The sequence below is a fragment of the Homo sapiens genome, chromosome 8 (assembly GCF_000001405.40).
Source record: "Homo sapiens chromosome 8, GRCh38.p14 Primary Assembly".
NCBI classification, from domain to species: Eukaryota; Metazoa; Chordata; class Mammalia; order Primates; family Hominidae; genus Homo; species Homo sapiens.
The window spans coordinates 104826258-104845454 of NC_000008.11; the positions used below are offsets into that span (position 1 = coordinate 104826258).

The following is a 19197-nucleotide window of genomic DNA, read 5'->3' on the forward strand; positions in this document are numbered from 1 at the left end:
TCTTCAGGATTGTACTGGTAAAGCCATATTTCATCTCTTCTTACAATTCTTTGAAGAAAAGCTTCAGGATTTTGATCCCACTTGTTTAAAATTTTCATTGACAGCTTGGTTCTTGTCAGTAGCTGATGTGGGTGCTATCATTTTGTGTAAAAATCCGAAGCACATCTTAAATACAAAGAACCAGAATTTCCAAAGAGGGGTCCTGGGCATCTGTAATCAAGTGGAAATTTGGCTGAACTTCAATTTTTCAGTCAGAATTGTGTAAGCTAAACCAGTGGAGATGTCTATGGTGTTGGCCGTTGTTTGTGCTGTCCATTATCAGTCCTTTTCAATTAGGGCTTGAATGAGAGAAATTCTTTCCTTATGAATTGATATGGAAGGTCTGCTGCTACAGGCTTCATCTTCAACATCATCTTGTCCCTTATTAAAATAAGTTAACCATTTGTGAACTGCTGACTTCTTTGGGACAGTGTTCCCGTAAACTTCTCATAAAGCATTTTACCCTTCTTTCACCCCAGATCTACCCTAAATTTGTTCTTGCTTCAATTTTAGAAGAATTCATTTTACTCTGACATGGCTTTTTTTTTTTTTTTCAAACTAATGTCTTTTTCTTCTAAGTGCCTCAAACTTGATCTTATTTAGGCCTGTTATAAATTAGTATGAGTTTATTTTGGTGCAAAAACATTTTGAAGTCATGCATAGTTTTTTCATTATATGCATTTTCCATGAACTTTTTGATAACAAGTGAGTTTGGGAAACAATGGAAAGAACCCATACTTTAAAATCACCTTACCCATTTGTGAATTCAGAGTCTAAGGCTTACCAGCTGTATGAACTCAGACACATTATTTAACCTCTTTGAAAATCAGTTTCCTCATCTCTAAAGGGGAAATGTTAACACCTTCCAAAATAATTTTTATGTGGATTCAGTTATGTAAATGTAGCTATTCCAAGTGCTATTTTTATTGAAACGTGGAAACTTGTTTCAAATCTTTTAACCTTTACTCTTGCTGGAAGAGAAAATATAAAAATTCCGAAACAATACAAACATAAATATTTAATTATTCTTTCTCTTTCTTAAAAAAATATTTTTTTACAGACAGGGACTTGCTATGGTACCCAGGCTGGACTTGAACTCTGGGGCTCAAGCATTCCTCCCACCTCAGCCTCCCAAGTAGCTGGGCCTACAAGTCTTCTTGGCTTCAAGTCTTCTTCCTCAGCGTAAGCAATAGTAAAATCATTTATTAATCTATAAAGTATTTGAGGCACGAAAGCTCAAATTTAGAAGATTGGTAAGCCAATTGGTACTGATATCTTTCAGATACTCAAAGACAACACCACAATTGTTATATTTCCATTTTATTAAATGCAAGAAAATTTTTGTAGATTTCTTCTACACACTTTAAAAAAAGTCTATAGGAAGTTCTGTTGTTTATCATTTCTTAAAATAGTGTTTCTCAAAGTGTATTCCCTGGCCCACCAGCATCAGGATCATCTGGGAACTTTCTAGAAAAGCAAAGTCTCAGTCCCTATCCAAGACTCCTAAACTAGAAACTCTTGAGTTGAAGGCACTGCAATTTGTATTTTAACAAGGCCTCGGAATAATTCTGATACAAATTAAAGTTGGGGTATTGCTGGTCTAAATCCAACTTCTGATCCCCTCCCTTCTTCCAATCTGTTCATTTTGTGGTTTTCCCATGTAAATAAATGGAAACACTATCTTCCCAGATCTTCATGTCAAAAATGTTGGAGTTATTCTTGATTTCTCATTTGCTGTCTACTCTACATCCAATGTATCAGAAAGTCCTGCCATTTCTACCTTTAATCACCAAAATATCACCATCAAATTCCCTCTACTATTAATATTAATATCCTCATCCAAGTCTCTATTTTCTCTGGCATGGATTATTTAACAACATTTTAATGAACCTCTCTGCTTCCACTTTTGCATTCCTGCAGACTGTTCCAACACTGAAGCCTTCCTTCCTGATGCTTTTAAAACAGAAGCCTGATTATGTTACTTGTACTGAATTGTGTATTGGCATATGAGCTTCTTTCCATTCTTTTTATATTCCCTTTTGTAACCTAGAAGTTGGAAGCCTAAAAACTGTATTACCCTGAATTCCTGCCACTAGAATTCTAGGCTAAATGACAACAATTGGTGAAAATTACTAGAGATTTGGAAAGTGGAATTGAAGAAACAGAAGAATATGGTACAGAGGCCGTATTATTGTTCCTCTAGCAAAACAGAGGTTGTATAAATTTTGGTAGAAATGAGATATTGTAGGAGCCTCAGGAATTTTTCTCTGAATTACCTGCCTCTATGTTGGTAGTTTTGCAGCTGTTTCTGAAATTTCTATCACTTTCTGACTCTCTGAAATTTAGTAATCAACATAAGAACTAGTTGGCAGTAGCTTTCTCTGATCTTCATTACTGTAACCCTGCTAATGATTTTATAAACATGAATTCCCTGTATAAATCCATTATTGCCTGAAATACCTGGAGTTGTTTCTATTTTTTTGAGAGAACAGTGACCATTCTTCTGATCAAAATGTTTGATTAGCTTCCCATCTCATTCAGAGTAAAATTCCTTAGATGCCTACAAGGCCCTACACAATCTGGCCCCTTTACTTCTAGGATCTCAACCAGTTCTGTGCTCTCTTGCACTAACTCTGTTCCTGTCAGACTGGCTTTCCTGCTGTTCCTTAAAGTAGCCAGGTATTCTCCCACTTAAGGGACTTTGCACTTTTGCTCCCTCCGCCTGTAGTGCCTCTCCCCCCAGATAGTTGCTCATCTTATGTTCTCATTTCCTTCAGTTCTTTGCCCAAATGCTGTCTTTTCAAAGGGGCATTTCCCTGACAGCCCAATTGAAAAGTAACTTCTACCCCCAGCACAAGGTATAAGAGGTAGGTGGTGGAATTACCTCCATTTAATATATGAGAAAATATACAACCAGGAAAGAAAAGCTCATTGAAGTCTCATGGTTTTTAAATGTTAAACCAAACACGTATCCAAAGGGCTTACCAAACAATTTTGAAAAGACTGGGTGATTAATAAATGCTCATGTTGATGTTGCAGTGATGGGGGATGATTTAAATTCTCTTCAGCAAGATCAGTTAGGACTGTCCTATAATAGGGAAGTCCACTGGAGTTTCAGTGATTGATTATAATAGATTTCACAATATATTATGTTCTCCGAGAGGTTAGATTAGCTCATATATATTTTTCCTGCAGAGGTAGGTCAGAATAAAAGAAATTAAAACATATTTTAAAAAATGGATCTTCTAGTATAACCACTACCCAAATTTCTGGTAAGGGTATTCAGGACAATCTACGTATTTCCTAGTATCAACATGTTATAATGATAGGTTGGTCTTAGATTAAATTACTCAACTCCTGTTAGTTCATAGCATTCAGTGTTAAGAAATTTATTTACTATTGTGTTAAAAGTAATGGGAATAAGGAATTTGAGTTTATAGAAAAATAACAAAATGGAATTACTATGGCAGAAATGCCCCAATAGTTCTCTGTAACCTCCCTTTTTAAAGGATATATTGATTATTTTCATGAATGCATGGTTGGAGGGGAGTGGTAAGAAGAACAATTTTATGTAAAAAACTTTCCAATTTTTAGTGTGAAGAGTAAAAATAAATCAACTGGAGCCAGAGTCATATTGTAAAGGTTTGGCGGAGCTGACTAGAGAAATAAAATGGATCTAGTGATCTCTGTGACCTGGGCTATTTAGCTGCGACGTTGTGCTCTGCCTCTCAAGAAAACAGCAAACTCTTAAGGAACAAAAATAAGATAACTCTTTTAAAGAAAAATGGATAGAACAATTCAGGAATAAATGTAGTTGAAAATGGCAAAGGAAACACAAAGGACAAAATTGTCCTTTATCCAATTTAAGGAGTGAAAAACAACTAGAAGTGTGCTGAGATTCTGTGCTGTAAGAAATTTGAAGAGACAAAATTGAAGGTTGAAGTTCTGGTCACAGTTCTTCTGGAAATGGGCTTTATGTAATATCTGGGCATAGACAGTGAAAAAGCATCCAGAGCTGGCTTTTTTTGTCATTCCCTGTAAACTCCAAAAGACATGTTTTGGTTTTTTTCTCTCTAAACGTCTATAGTGACACTAAAGGACATCCACAGATTTCTCTATTTCCATAGTTAAGTTTCTGCTTTGGATTATAAAAATAACTGGTACTTTACCTTTCTTCCTCTAGTTTTGTACCCACTAATTTATTCTTACAGCATTCAGTGTAATCTTTGCAAATGCAAATCTGATCCTGTCTCTTCTGTGTTAAAAGCCATTCAATAACTCTCCGTGGACGACAGCAGCAATTCCCAAAGTCTTTTCCAATAACTGCCATAGAATATTAGTAGATATTAAAGACAAGATGTGAGAAATTGTAAGTTAAGATTAAGCAGTTTTGTTTACAATAGGTCTTCTCAAGATCCTTAATGTTAATGTCCCTAGTGAATCTCCAAAAGGGGGAGGAATATAATATGCAAAGTTTCCCAAACTTACTTGATGAAGAGATCCATTTCTTTTTCATGAAGTGTCTTGCAGGACTAGTTTGGAGTGGGACACATATTTGAAAATGCTTGTTTATAGCACAGTGCAAATTTATGAGTGAAGCAAGGAATGAATGGAATGATCTGGAACCTACGGACCATTAGTTTGCATTTCCCTAAAGTATTATGCTTTCTTTCTCCTCCATGCTGCAGGTATTAGAAATTCCCCTAAATTTCTCATCAACCCCCCTTTTCCAATCCATTGAGTAACATCTACTTATCATTTAGGACTCATCATTTAGCTTTTTACTGGTTATTTCCATAGCTCTGACTTTGCACTTATTCTCTTCAGCTTGCAGAATTGTTTAACTGGCATTGCTGTTTACATAAAACATTCCTCTGACTTAAGATCTGAAAGAAAGAAAGTGAAGGGAGCTGAGAAAAGCCTGTCAACTCAGTTTATAGAAAGATAATAGATCTGATTGCTCTCTCCTCGTTTTTGGACGAGGAAACAGAAGGAAAAGGGATCCAGGAAAAAATTCTACAAAATAAAAGATGGACAATAATTCTCAAGATTGTGTAGAAGAAACATTTGAAACAATTCATTAAAATAAACAGTACATTTTACATAATATGTATTTGATTTTTGAATAATATAAAAATATAAGCTTGGAAAGAGGATGCTATATGTAATAAAGCAAGTTTTAAAGGAAACTAAAATGCAGTAACAGCTGGTATATTAACTAGAAATTGGAAATAACAATATACAATGCATAAAGTCAAAATTATTTTAAAGAAAATTATTAAGACTGTTTTAGAAGATGGGAGAAACTCAAATAAGCAGTGATAATTAAAGAGAAGAATATAGCTATGGATAACAAAGGATAGAAATTTAGGCTAAAGATAATTTATGTTTCTAAAGATGAGTTGGTAATAAATGGAATAGAAGTAATACTCATAAATGGAATAGAAAGAGGGTAAAGAAATATCTCAGAGCACGCATAGAATAAGATCTCTGTGTACCTGGCAAAATTAAAGAGAGGAAATTAGTATCTCTATCCTATAGAAAATTTAAAATCACAATAAAGAATCTTATAAGCAAGATTTCAGGAAGGAAAAAAATTACCTACAAAAGTAGAAAAGTTAGGCTGCCTAACATTAAATGCTTTGACATAATGGCATAATGTTTATATAATTTTGAAGGGAAAAATTTTTGACTCCAGAAATTTACATCTAGCTGCATTGCTGTTAAGATGTGAAGTTAATAGAAGGACATAATCAGATTTAGACACAATTAAATATATTTCACATGTCCTTTACTAAAAAGTTACTCAAAATATATTCTGCCAAATGAGAAATGAATCAAAATAAGAGACTCAACAATTAAAAAATGCCACACATGGTGGCTCATGTCTATAATCCCAGCACTTTGGGAGGATAGCTCAAGTCCAAGAGTTTGAGACCAGTCTGGGCAACATAGTGAGACACTGTCCACAAAAATTACAAAAAAAAATTAGCCAAGCATGGTAGTGGGCCTGTGGTTCTAGCTACTTGGGAAGCTAAGGGATGAAGCTGAGGGAGGATTCGTTGAGCCGTGGAGGCCGAGGATGTAGTGAGGTTGATTGCATCACTGCACTCCAGCCTGGGCAACGGAGCCAAGACCATCTGAAAACAAACAAACAAACACACAAACCCTAAACTAAAAAGTTATATATGAACTGAACTGACAATGAACATTTCAGTCAGATGTATAGACTTGGATACAGTGTTTATAACAATGGTTAAAATACATAAATACAAAAGTTATCAAAATATAAGGAGTAATTGTCAGAAACACAGTATTGGAAGACTTAAGTGCATCCTTATTTAATACATAGAATTGGGAAAATATTACTAAAAGATTTAATTAGTATTTATAAAATTAACCTACATATAGGCCTCTACATCTAATTTTGTCTACTAAATATGCAGAACGTTTCACCTTGTTTTTGAGGTGGCTCATGAAACATTTATAAAATAATCATATACTAGGCCACAAAAAAGCCTCATTCAGTTCCTCAAAATGATTTAAATAGATCACTTTCTTTACTATGCAATGAAAGAAAATTAATTTTTTCTGAATTTACAACCACTTATACTTTAGTTTTCTAAATAATTATTAACTATATGTTAAGATTGTAGTTAATAAATAATTTACAAAATACTAGCAATGAGAACACAGTATTTAATCTGAGATTTTTTCCAGAGCCATAATGATATGAAATGATCAGATTTTTAAAAGTGCTTTTATTACTAAAGAGGAAGGAATAAAAAATAACTTATTAAAGGCTGTGGACCACTTATAGCTTTTGTTTTATATTTCCAAATTTCAGACTTCTCTCCCTCTACCATACGTAAAGTTTTATACTAATGTACATGTTCAAGAATATTGACTTTAGTGCATGATCCTGGCTTTAGTTATTATTTTAAATACTTGAAAATTTGATATATTTAAAAAATATAAAGTGTTTGGCTACCCATGAGGTTAAATACTTTTTTTTTTTTTTGAGACAGGGTCTCACTCTGTCACCAAGGCTGGAGTGCAGTGGTGCTGCGATCTCGGCTCACTGCAACTTCCACCTCCAAGGCCCAAGCGATCCTCCCACCACAGCCTCCTGAGTGGCTGGGACTAGAGGTATGTGCCACCACTGCCAGCTAATTTTTTCCTTTTTTTTCTATAGATGGAGTTTTGCTGTTTTGCCCGGGCTCATCTCCAACTCTTGGGCTCAAGCGATCCGATCGCCTTGGCCTCCCAAAGTGTTGGGATTACAGGCGTGAGCCACGGCGGTTGGCCTAAAGAATTTTTCTATTGTTTATAGACTTTTATGTTTCTATTATTGCAACTTGACTTTTATGGGAAAGGGATTATAAATTTATCAGAACAACCAAGATAATTTTGAGAAAGAATAATAATAAAGAGGCTTTATGCTACTGGATAATCAGTGCAGAAATGACACAAGTGCACACACATGGATCAGTGAAAAAGATAACAAGCCCTGATAGACTGTTGCCTGGACTGTGGTGGTTTTTAAACATGCATTTCCTATTCTTCCCAGGCATACAGAGATACTACATTTCCTGTCTTCTCCTGCAGTTAGAGGTGGCCACATGTTTGAGTTCTAGTCAATGGAATTCACCTCCCCATAAAAAATTCTCATGGAGGCAGGGGAATCCTCCATGTTCCTTCTCCTTCTGCTGGCTTGAGACAGACCAGCACAGACACCTTGTAAGCACATGCTGAAGTGAAGTCTCAGCTTGGAACGTTCTGGGTTCCTGAATCCCTGCTTGCAGGAGATATATCTGGCAATCAGCAAAACTGTTTTGGATTCGATATGATTAAGATACACATTTATTTTGTGTTAATCCATTAATATTTTGGCATGTTTTGTTATGGCAGCTAGCCTTACTCAAAACATAGGCCTTTACATATGTGCATAAAAATAAATTTACTCCATGAAAATATGAGGATATAATGGTTATTAATTTGTGGTTGCTGTCAACCTGTGTTTTGTGTGGCACCTATCATATACTAAATGGTTAATTTAATAATTATTATTATTAACTTGTCACTTCAGATAGTTCAGGTCAATTGTGAAAAATTTTATAATCCAAAAAGTGGTGTTGGATTACATGATTTAAAATTTGAGAAAAATAACTTGGATCTCTAACTCAATTACTTATATTAAGCTGGGGTTCCCCAGTCCCTGGGCTGCAGACCAGTAGTGGTTAGGAACTGCGCCCCGCCACACAGTAGGAGGTGAGCGGCAGGGGAGCAGGCATTACCATAAGAGCTCCGCTAAGAATCAGTGGCAGCATTAGATTCTTATAGGAGCACAAACCCTGTTGTGAACTGTGCATGCAAGGGATCTAGGTTGTGTGTTCCTCCTGAGAATCTAATGCTGAAGATCTGAGTGGAACAGTTTCATCTCGAAACCATCTCTGCCCATCTGCCCAACCCCTTATCCCCGATCTGTGGAAAAACTGTCTTCCATGAAACCGATCCCTGATGCCAAAAATGTTGGGGACCACTGGTGTATCTGGTGTCAGCCTGTTCACGTGCACATTCTAGTTCTGTCTCTTTCTAGGTGTGTGAGAACAGTCAGTATACAATGCAGAAATTTAAATTATTATGAAAATAATGATGATGCATAAATTAGTTGCATTCACTGCTAGTTAAGCTTTAAATGGGTAAAACTGGAAAGTAATCAATTTTGTATGTGTGTAAAATGTCTTTAAATTTTTTATAATTTTATTGTACCTATGTAGCTTCTAGGAATTTATTTTAAATAAATAATCACAAAAGTTTATATGCACAATAGGCCGGGTGCAGTGGCTCAAGCCTGTAACCCAGCACTTTGGGAGGCTGAGGCGGGCAGGTCACCTGAGGTCAGAAGTTTGAGACCAGCCTGGCCAACATAGTGAAACCCAGACTCTACTAAAAATACAAAAGTTAGCTGGGTGTGGTGGTGCACGCCTGTAATCCCAGCTACTTGGGAGGCTGAGGTAGGAGAATTGTTTGAACCCAAGAGGCGAAGATTGCAGTGAGCTGAGATTGGGCCACTGCACTCTAGTCTGGGCAACAGAGCAAGACTCCGCCTCAAAAAAAAAAAAAAAAAAGTATATGCACAATAATGCTCATAGTTGCATTATTTTAGCAGGGATAATCTGAAGACAAGCTAAATGTGTAACAAGGGGAATTGGTTGTAAATGTGGACACATTCATCAGATATATCCCATGGTGATTAAGGGCGTGGCTTAGTGGCACATAGGCCTTGCTTTGATTCTTTTCTACTTCAACCACTTATTAGCTGTGTGAATTTGAATAAGCCACATAATCTCTAATTTGATTTCCTTATTTATAAAATGGGGCTAATAATAGCACATATTTGTCTCATAAGGTTGCTAAATGAGAATTAATTGAGATAGTTTATGTAAAGCATCTGATACATAGTAGATGGTGGCTACTAATATCAACATGTAAAGTATTAGAAACTAGTTACAGATTATGATAGACCATATGTGAGCAGAACATCTAATGAATGTATGCCTCCTGTCAATAGGAGTCACCTGGGAATTTTTGATTTTTCTTTTTCTGCACCTACCATGTCTAATTTTGCAGCAAGTTCTATCCTTTTACTAAATACTTCCTGCCTTTCACCATCCGTCATCTTCACTGCCCCAGGCTTAGTCTGAGTCACCATCAACTCTTGCCTGGACAACTGTGATGGGCTCCTGGCCAACCCTGGCCTCATTGCTTGTCTTCCTAAAGCCTTTCCTCTATATATACAGTGGCCAGGCTGAAATTTTAGGGGTTTTCTGAACACTTTAATCCCTTCTAAAGGCTTCCCATTACAATCAGAATATAATCTAAACTCCCAAAGATGCTCTTCGATCTGGCTCTTCCCTAACTTTTTAACTTTATCTTTCTCCATGATGTCTCTCATTTCAGAAATGATGGTCTTCTTTTTGTCCCTCATACATTCCAAACTCATTTCCATATTAGGACCTGTGCTCCTGAATGCTCCTTTTGCTAGGAATGCTCTTTCCTGAGATCTAGGTCTACCCTCAAGTGTCATCTTCCCAGGGAGGCCTTCAGACTGACCTAAGGATAGGAGCTTCCATAAGTTACCTTTTACTTCCTTACCCTACTTTATCTTCTTTGTAACACTTATCTTCTTAATTTTCTTACTGAAGTTTTTTTGTAGCCATTAGGATGTAAGTTTCTTGAGGAGAGAGGCTCTGTTTCTCACATTCAACACTGTCCCAAACACCCAGAACAATTCCTGGTGCATGGGGGCCCCACCCAGGCAGTATTTGTTAGCTGACTGTCCTCCTTGACTGTGGATATTTGTGTTTTGGAACAGTGGAAGAAAGGGACTTCACTGTTTACCTTATACATGACATTATTGTAATTTCTTTGTAATATAAAATAAAATGATGATAATTTGTTGATATGGTTTAGCTGTGTCCCTACCCAAATCTCATCTTGAATTGTACTTCCCATAATCCCCATGTGTCATGGAAGAGACCCGATTGGAAGTAATCGAATCATGGAAGTGGTTTCACCCTTGTGATAGTGAGTAAGTTCTCACCAGATCTGATGGTTGTATAAGGGGCTTCCCCCTTTGCTTGGCTCCCATTCTTCTCCTTGCTGCTGCCATATGAAGGATGTGTTTTCTTCCCCTTCCACCATGGCTGTTAAGTTTCCTGTGGCCTCCCCAGCCATCCTGAACTGTGAGTCAATTCAACCTCTTTCCTTTATAAATTACCCAGTCTTGGGTATGTCTTTATTAGCAACATGAGAACAGACTAATACATTTGTGAATTAAGGGTACTTTTAAATCATTTTATTTGTAATCTCCACATTTTATATATTTCTCTAAAAAATCTGATTCTTTTTAGAATCAGAATAATGTTTTTAAAATGTTATAAAATCTGAATCAGATTAAAAATTTTGATTACATATCTTCATAGATACCCAGGTGGTAATTGGTAATAAGAATATGTGATAATTCATACACAGTTAGCCATGTTTAAGCAATGGATAATGATTAATAATTATGGTGTCAGTGATGATAATAAAATGGTAATTAGAAAACAGGAATGATTGTGCCTGATTATGGCAGAAATTATAAGAAACATTCTTCATTTTCTTTCTTTCATATTTTGTTGTTATTTTCCTATCTCTCAGTAAAATAAATATAATGTTTTCTGTCTAAAGGTGACTGTGTCTTTACTGTGAAATTTCCAATGTGGCCCTTGAATGTACCTGAAAATAGATATAATGCTCTGTGGTAAAAATAAGGCTGTAATCTGGAGATGAAAGAAGAGAGTCACTGAATTCAGAAAAATATTCTAAAAGACTGAAACTGAGAAAGGTAGTTATTTCACAAAAAGAGGATGTAATTTGACCTGTGAAAAGATTCCATAGGAGCCTAACAAGCTTTCTAATGTTTTCTTGTAGAGTTTTTTTTTAAAATTCCCACTTCTAGCTTTACTATTTACCCATTGTTTCATTCATAAAACATTTTTCTTGTGTTCTACTGTGCCAGGCACTGTGCTAGCATTTGGGAGAAAAATTATGACATGGATAGACACAGTTACATTTCACAGGAAAATACACGAGCTAGAGCTTGTGAAATAAGGTGCAAGATATTGAGAGAAACCAGAGAAGCCTCATGAAGTAGAAGGCAAAGTTAAATTTATATTTAATGCTGGTAAAATTTCTATTTCTGAAGAGTCAAAATGTAAAGGCATCTATTGTGGTAATTCACCTGTTTTCTCTTGTAGCTTTTGGTCTGTTTTTACTGTTTTACCCCCATCATTTCTTATTCAGAGGATTGAGTTTATATGGGTGATTTTTCTGGAAGCAATCGCCCTGGGCTGGCAAAGGGTGCAGCAATTCATAACAGTACAGTCTATGTCTCCCCCGCCATTTTAAAATTTAGCTTCACTGTTATTTCTTTGACCTGCCCCCACTCCGTTTTCAGATTTGTATACTCGTGTTTCATGTATCAGTGATGATTCCAATTACACGCTAGGTAACAAGAGTTTAATAAAATGTGGCAATAAATTGTGGAAAGACATCATGCATGTGAAAAAAATGTATTAAGAAATGTGTTCCAGGTAGAGCTTCCAGTATTAAATGACTAATCACTTCCACACACATACACAAAGTGAGGGTTTTATTTAGTGGAACTTGGCCTTTCAAAACTAGAATGCCAAGCAATACCTTCCAACTGGTTTTTTAGCTTGTCTGAGGCATGGGGGCAATTGTTTCTTTTTACAGAAAACTTTTCAGATGGTCTTCAGTGGCTCTTCCACTGAAAGAAAGTAGGGTATCTTGTTCAAACTCATATTATTTTTATTTTAATGACAAATGATAATAAAAAGAATGGGTAATAATTTATGTTCCTTACAACCTAGTGGGCAAATGATCTGAAATTGAATTCACGCTCTTCCTTTGATTGTGAACTTAGGCAAGTTTCTTATGTGCCTCAATTCTTTTGTGGCAACACTGAAAGAGTAATTTATTTACTGAGATATTGTGGAAGATTAGTAATTTTAACAAATGAATGTAAAACATTTAGCCCAGTGTGAGACACAGAATAAGCATTCAATAAAAATACTATTATGAGAGTCAAATTTAAGGATTTGAATAGGTAAAACAGTTCTAGAAGAAAATAAAACAGGCTATGTAGGGGGTAGAGATGCTATTGTTTGGCTTTTTGTTTCTTTGTCATCTCCAGATTATTCTTTATGAGACCTGCTTCTCCATCAGCTGTAGCATCAGATGGGCTCAACTCTGCTCACCTTACCTTCATTAACAACTGCCAAGAGGGGTCCTAAATTTCAGTAGCCATTTCCTGAGACGGGAATCATGAGTGCAACTCCTTTCTGTCCATTTTGTTTTAAAAGAAAACATCCAGAAAACATTGTAGATAAGGAACCCACTTGCTGATCATCAGGTTGGTCTTCTCATTGCTCATCCCTCAGGAATATTCTTGTCTTACTTTTTGTATAAGAGATGAAGCCTTGCTCTGTTGCCCAGGCTGAAGTGCAGTGGTGCCATCATCACTTACTGTAGCCTCAACCTCGTGGTGGGCTCAAGCAATCCTCCTACCACCTCAGCCACTCTGTAGCTGGGATTACAGATGTACTACACTCTGCTTTCAGTAACATTCTGAGAACCCATAAACAAGCCAGCCATGCTCGATTTGTAGGTGAGTGTGTTAAAACAGAGGCCATCTGGGCTGTGGGCTTGGAAATCCAATCACTTTCTTATTGTGTAACTTTGAGAAAGTTGTTGAACTTTTCTGTACCTTTTGGTTCTCCTGTGTAAAATGGCAATAATGATACCTTACGGTGCAGTAGCAAGGATTAGAGAGCACATCTTTCATAATGCCCAGGATGGTGCTTGGCACGGAAAAGGAATTCAATAAAGGCTAGTTATTGGTATATTATTGATGATTTGTGAGAATAAAATATCAAGTTAGATGGTAAAACTGGAACTGATGCATCATATATTTATAAATGAGTTGACCTTTATCCTTAGGGAAGTAACACATAAAAAAGGTTACGCATGATTGCAGTTTTGGATGCAGGAAAATCATGGTGAAGAACAGAGACATTAGAGGCTACATTTTTCTCATAAATGTGTGAGTAAGGAAAGAGACAGTCAAATGATAATTGAAATTGTAGTATCAGTCATTATGCACATTATTAGATCCTGTTTCAAATGTAAATAGACTCTGAAAACAAAATTGTTTTTTAAAAAGAGTGCAGATATGCAGGGAATTGGGGGCTCTGCTCTTCATAACTTCTCATGAGAATAGTTATAAAAATAGTAAACATTTTTTGTGTGCTTACAACACTGAGTGTTACCTGTATGTGACTTATTTAATTATCACAGTGACTCCATGAGGTGAATACTATTTCTTTTAGCATTTTACATGAAAAATGACCTTTTCCACTGTATCTTCCTAAGGAAGAGTAGAGATCCCCTTTTTCCCGTGGTCCCTGAGATTTGGGAAGCCATTGCTTGTCTTGTGTGGAAAGAAAAATAGAGCACTACAAGATCTCTAGGAGGGAAGGAAGCCATATCTTGCACAACCTCTTTTTTGTTTTTTGTTTTTTTTTTTTTGAGACGGAGTGTCACCCTGTAGCCCAGGCTGGAGTGCAGTGGTGCAATCTTGGCTCACTGCAAGCTCCACCTCCTGGGTTCACGCCATTCTCCTCCCTCAGCCTCCTGAATAGCTGGAACTACAGGCACCCGCCACCACGCCTGGCTAATTTTTGTATTTTTAGTAGAGACGGGGTTTCACTGTGTTAGCCAGGATGATCCCGATCTCCTGACCTCGTGATCTGCCCACCTTGGCCTCCCAAAGTGCTGGGATTACAGGCGTGAGCCACCGCACCCAGCCAGACAACCTCTTATGGTTCCATATCTACTCATATTTATGATCACATATAATAGTCTCCCTATTACTAGTATGAATAACATTTATTAAATTCTCATGAATTTCTGCCTTATATAATGATATTTCTAGAAATGAAGGTTATTGAAAAATATGCTTTTAAATTAATACAAGTATGATAGTGTGCTGAAGTGTTCATTCAAGAAGGTGACCGATATGGTTCCGCTGTGTCTGCACCCAAATCTCATCTTGAATTGTGGCTCCTGTAGTTCCCATGTGTTGTGGGAGGGACCTGGTGGGAAGTAATTGAATCACGGGGGTGGGTCTTTCTCAGGCTGTTCTTGTGATAGTGAATAAGTCTCCTCATGAGATCTGATGGTTTTCTAAAGGGGAGTTCCTCTGCACAAGCTCTCTTGCCTGTCACTGTATTAGATGTGTTTGCTTCCCCTTCCACCATGATTGTAAGTTTTCTGAGGCCTCCTCAGCCCTGAGGAACTGTGAGTCAAACCTCTTTCCTTTATAAATTACCCAGTCTCAAGTAGGTCTTTATTAGCAGCATGAGAACAGACTAATACAGTGACACATACCTTGTCTATTAATTTGGAGATATATATATATACATTTATATATATATTTTACCATTTACAAAAATTAATTAATACGTATATATAAATTGCTTTTTTAAAGGTTATAGCAAATGTAAAAAATACCTTCATGGGAAAAAGAATAATCAGGGAGAATGATTCCTTATTGTCTTAGCTCAGAGTCAGCTATACTTTGGGAGTGCTAATATGCTCAGCTGATTTGTTTTGGGGGGAGGATAATGATTACATCAATGGGATTTGTACTTAAGTGATAGTGTGTTTATAAATCAAATATATTAAATATTTTTAGAAAAATATGAAAAAATCACATCTTAGCTAATGTTTCATAATCGCACTTTTGTTGTTTCTTATAATAAAATATTATAAAGAATTCAGATTATTTTTATAAAATTTTTATAACTTTTCTTTTAGATTCAAGAGGTACATGTACAGGTTTGTTACCCGAGTATATTGTATGATGCTGAAGTTTGGGCTACAATTGATCCTGTCACTCAGGTGGTGATCCATAGTACCTAATAGTTTTTCAACCTTTCCCCTGCCCCCCACCAGCAATCTCCAGTGTGTATTATTCCCATCTTTATGTCTATGAGTACCCAATGTTTAGCTTCCACTTATGAGTAAGAACATGCAGTATTTGGTTTTCTGTTCCTGTGTTGATTTGCTTAAGATAATGGCATCCAGCTCCATCCGTGTTACTGCAAATGACATGATTTTGTTCTTTTTTATGACTGCAGTGTATTCCATGGTATATAAGTACCACATTTTCTTTATCCAGTCCACCTCTGATGGGCATCTAGGTTAATTCGATGTCTTTGCTATTGTGAATAGTGCTCTGGTGAACATACAAGGTGTTTTTTGGTGGAGTGATTTGTTTTCTTTTGGATATATACAAAGTATTGGGATTGCTGGGTCAAATAGTAGTTCTGTTTTAATTTATTTAAGAAATATCCAAACTGTTTTCCACAGTGGCTGAACTAACTTACACTAACAGTGTATAAGCATTCCCCTTCTCTGCAGCAGCCTCACCAGCATCCGTTGTTTTTTGACTCTTTAATAATAGCCATTCTTACTGGTATGAGATGTTACGTCATTGTGGTTTTCATTTGCATTTCTCTAATAATTAGTAGTATTGAACTTTTTTTTCATGTTTGTTGGGCACTTTTATGTCTTCTTTTGAAAATATCTGTTCATGTCTTGCCCATTTTTAAGGGGGTTATTTGTTTTTTGCTTGTTGGGTTATCCCTTATAGGTTCCTTATAGGTTCTGGATATTAGATCTTTGTGAGATGCACAGTTTTCAAATATTTTCTCCCATTCTGTAGGTTGTCTGTTTCCTCAGTGGATAATTTATTTTGCTGTGCAGAAACTCTTTAGTTTAATTAGGTCCTAGTGTCAATTTTTGTTTTTGTTGAAATTGCTTTTGAAGACTTACGCATAAATTATTTCCCAAGGCCAATGTCCAGATTGGTGTTACCTAGGTTTTCTTCTAGGATTTTTATAGTTTGAGGTCTTATGTTTAAATCTTTAATCCATCTTGAGTTAATTTTTGTAAATGGTAAAACATAGGGGCCAAGTTCATACTTTTGCATATGGCTATCCAGCTATCCCAACCCCATTTATTAAATAGGGAATAGTTTCCCCATTGCTTATTTTTACCAATTCTGTTAATGATCAGATGGTTGTAGATGTGCAGCTTTATTTCTGGGTTCTCTATTCTGTTCCATTGGTCTATCTGTCTATTTTTACACCAGGACCGTACTGTTTTTGTAACTATAGCCTTATAGTTTAGTTTGAAATTGGGTAATGTGATACTTCTGACTCTGTTCTGTTTGCCTGGGATTGCTTTTTCTATTCATGCCTTCTTTGGTTTCATATTTATTTCAGAATAGATTTTTCTAGTGCTGTGAAAAATAATATTAGTAATTTGATAGGAATAGTGTTGAATCTACAGATTACTTTTGGTAGTATGGTCATTTTAACAATATTGATTCTTCCAACTCATGAGCATGGAATATTTTTCCATTTGTGTTATCTACAATTTCTTTCAGCAATATTTTGTAGTTCTCCTTGAAGGGGTCTTTTACCTGCTTGGTTAGATGTATTCCCAAATGGTTGTTATTTTTTATTTTTACAGCTATATTAAATGAAAATGCATTCTTGATTTGGCCCTCAGCTTGAACATTTTTGGTGTATAGAAATGGTGCTAATTTTTATACATCGATTTTGTATCCTGAAACTTTACTGAAGTTGTTTATTAGTTCTGGCAGCCATTTGGCAGAGTCTTTAGGGTTTTCTCTGTATAAAATCATATCATCAGGTAAGAGAGATAGTTTGACTTCTGCTTTTTTTATTTGGATGCTTTTTATTTCTTTTTCTTCTGTGATAGCTCTGGCAAGGATGTTTTGTACTATGTTAATTAGGAGTGGTAAGAGTGGGCATCCTTGCCTTGATCTAATTCTAAAGGGGAATTATTTCAGTTTTTGCCCATTCAGCATGATGTTGGCTGTGGGTTTGTCATAGTTGGGTCTTGTTATTTTGAGGTGTGTTCCTTTGATGCCTAGTTTCTCGAGGGTTTTTTTATATATGGAGCAATGTTGGATTTTAATCAATGACTTTTTCCAAGTCTATTGAGATGAGCATATTTTTTTTATTTTAATTCTGTTTATGTGATGAATGACATTTATTGATTTGCATATGGTGAACCAATCTTGCATCCCAGGAATGAAGGCTTCTTGGTCATAGTGAATTAACTTTTTGATGTGCTGCTGGATTTGGTTTGTTACTATTTTGTTGAGAATGTTTGCATCCATGTTCACCAGGAATATTGGCCTGCAGTTTTCTTTTTTTGCTGTGTCTTTACCAGATTTTGGTATCAAGGCGATGGTGACTTCATAGAATGAATTAAGGTGGAATTCTTCCTCTGTGACTTTTTGAAACAGTTGCAGCAAAATTGGTACTTTTTTTGGCTGGTAAATTTTTTCATTACTGATTCAATTTTGGAACTCTGTATTGGTCTGTTCAGTATTTCAGTCTCTTCCTGATTCAATGTGTGTGTTTCCAGGAATTTATCTATTTAGTCTAGATTTTCTCATTTTTGTGCTTAGAGGTGTTTATCTTAATCTCAGGATCTTTTGTATTTCTGTGGAGTCAGCTGTAATGTCACCTTTATTGTTTCTGATTTGTGCTTATTTTTTCTTTGTTAATCTAGCAAGCAGTCTATCAATTTTACTTATCCTTTAAAATAACCAACTTTTGGTTTTGTTGATTCTTTGCATGCATTTTTGGGTCTGAATTTCATTCAGTTCTGCTCTCATTTTAGTTATTTCTTTTATCATGCTAGCTTTGGGTTAGTTTGTTCTTTCTCTGATTCCTCTAGAAGTGTTCCTAGATCATTCATTTGAGATCTCTCTAACTTTTAAAAATAGACATTTAGTGCTGTCAACTTTCTTCCGAGCACTGCTTTTGCTGCATCCCAGAAATTTTGGTGTGTTGTGTCTCTGTTTTCATTTATTTCAACATTTTGATTTCTGCCTTAATTGTATTATTTACCCCAAAGTAATTCAGGAGCAAATTATTTGATTTCCATATAATTGTGCAGTTTTGAAAGATCTTGGTATTGCTTTCTATTTTTGTTCCACTGTGGCTCGAGAGTCTGGTTGGTAAGATTTTGATTTCTTTTGAATTTATTGAGATTACTTTATGACAATGCATGTGGTTGATCTTGGAATTTGTTTCATGTGCAGATGGGAAGAATGTATATTTTATGGTTGATGGGTAGAGTATTCTGTAGATGCCTATTAGGTCCAATTGGTCATGCATTAAATTCCAGTTAGAAAAATAATTTCTTTATTCGTTTTCTGCCTGGATGATGTGTCCAATTGAAGTTCCCCACTATTATTGTGTGGCTGTCCAAGTCTTTTCATAGGTCTAGAAGTACTTGTATTATGAATCTCAGTGCTCTAACGTTGAGTGTGTATGTATTTAGGATACTTAAGTCTCCTGGTTAAACTGAATCACTTGTCATTATGTAATGCCCTTCTTCGTCCTTCTTTATTGTTCTTGATTTAAAGTCTGTTTTATCTGATATAAGAACAGCGACTCCTGCTCTTTTCTGTTTTCTATT

General features: G+C 35.9%; 1 long non-coding RNA gene across 1 annotated transcript in view; it reads left to right on the forward strand.

Moving 5' to 3' along the window:
- The first annotated feature begins 1125 nt into the window (after positions 1-1125).
- Positions 1126-19197, forward strand: part of LOC105375694 (uncharacterized) — a 68330-nt gene continuing 50258 nt past the window's right edge. Inside the window, exons 1-2 of the long non-coding RNA XR_928510.2 lie at positions 1126-1221; positions 12803-13021. This is a non-coding gene — a long non-coding RNA (uncharacterized LOC105375694). The remainder of the gene's footprint in view (positions 1222-12802; positions 13022-19197) is intronic.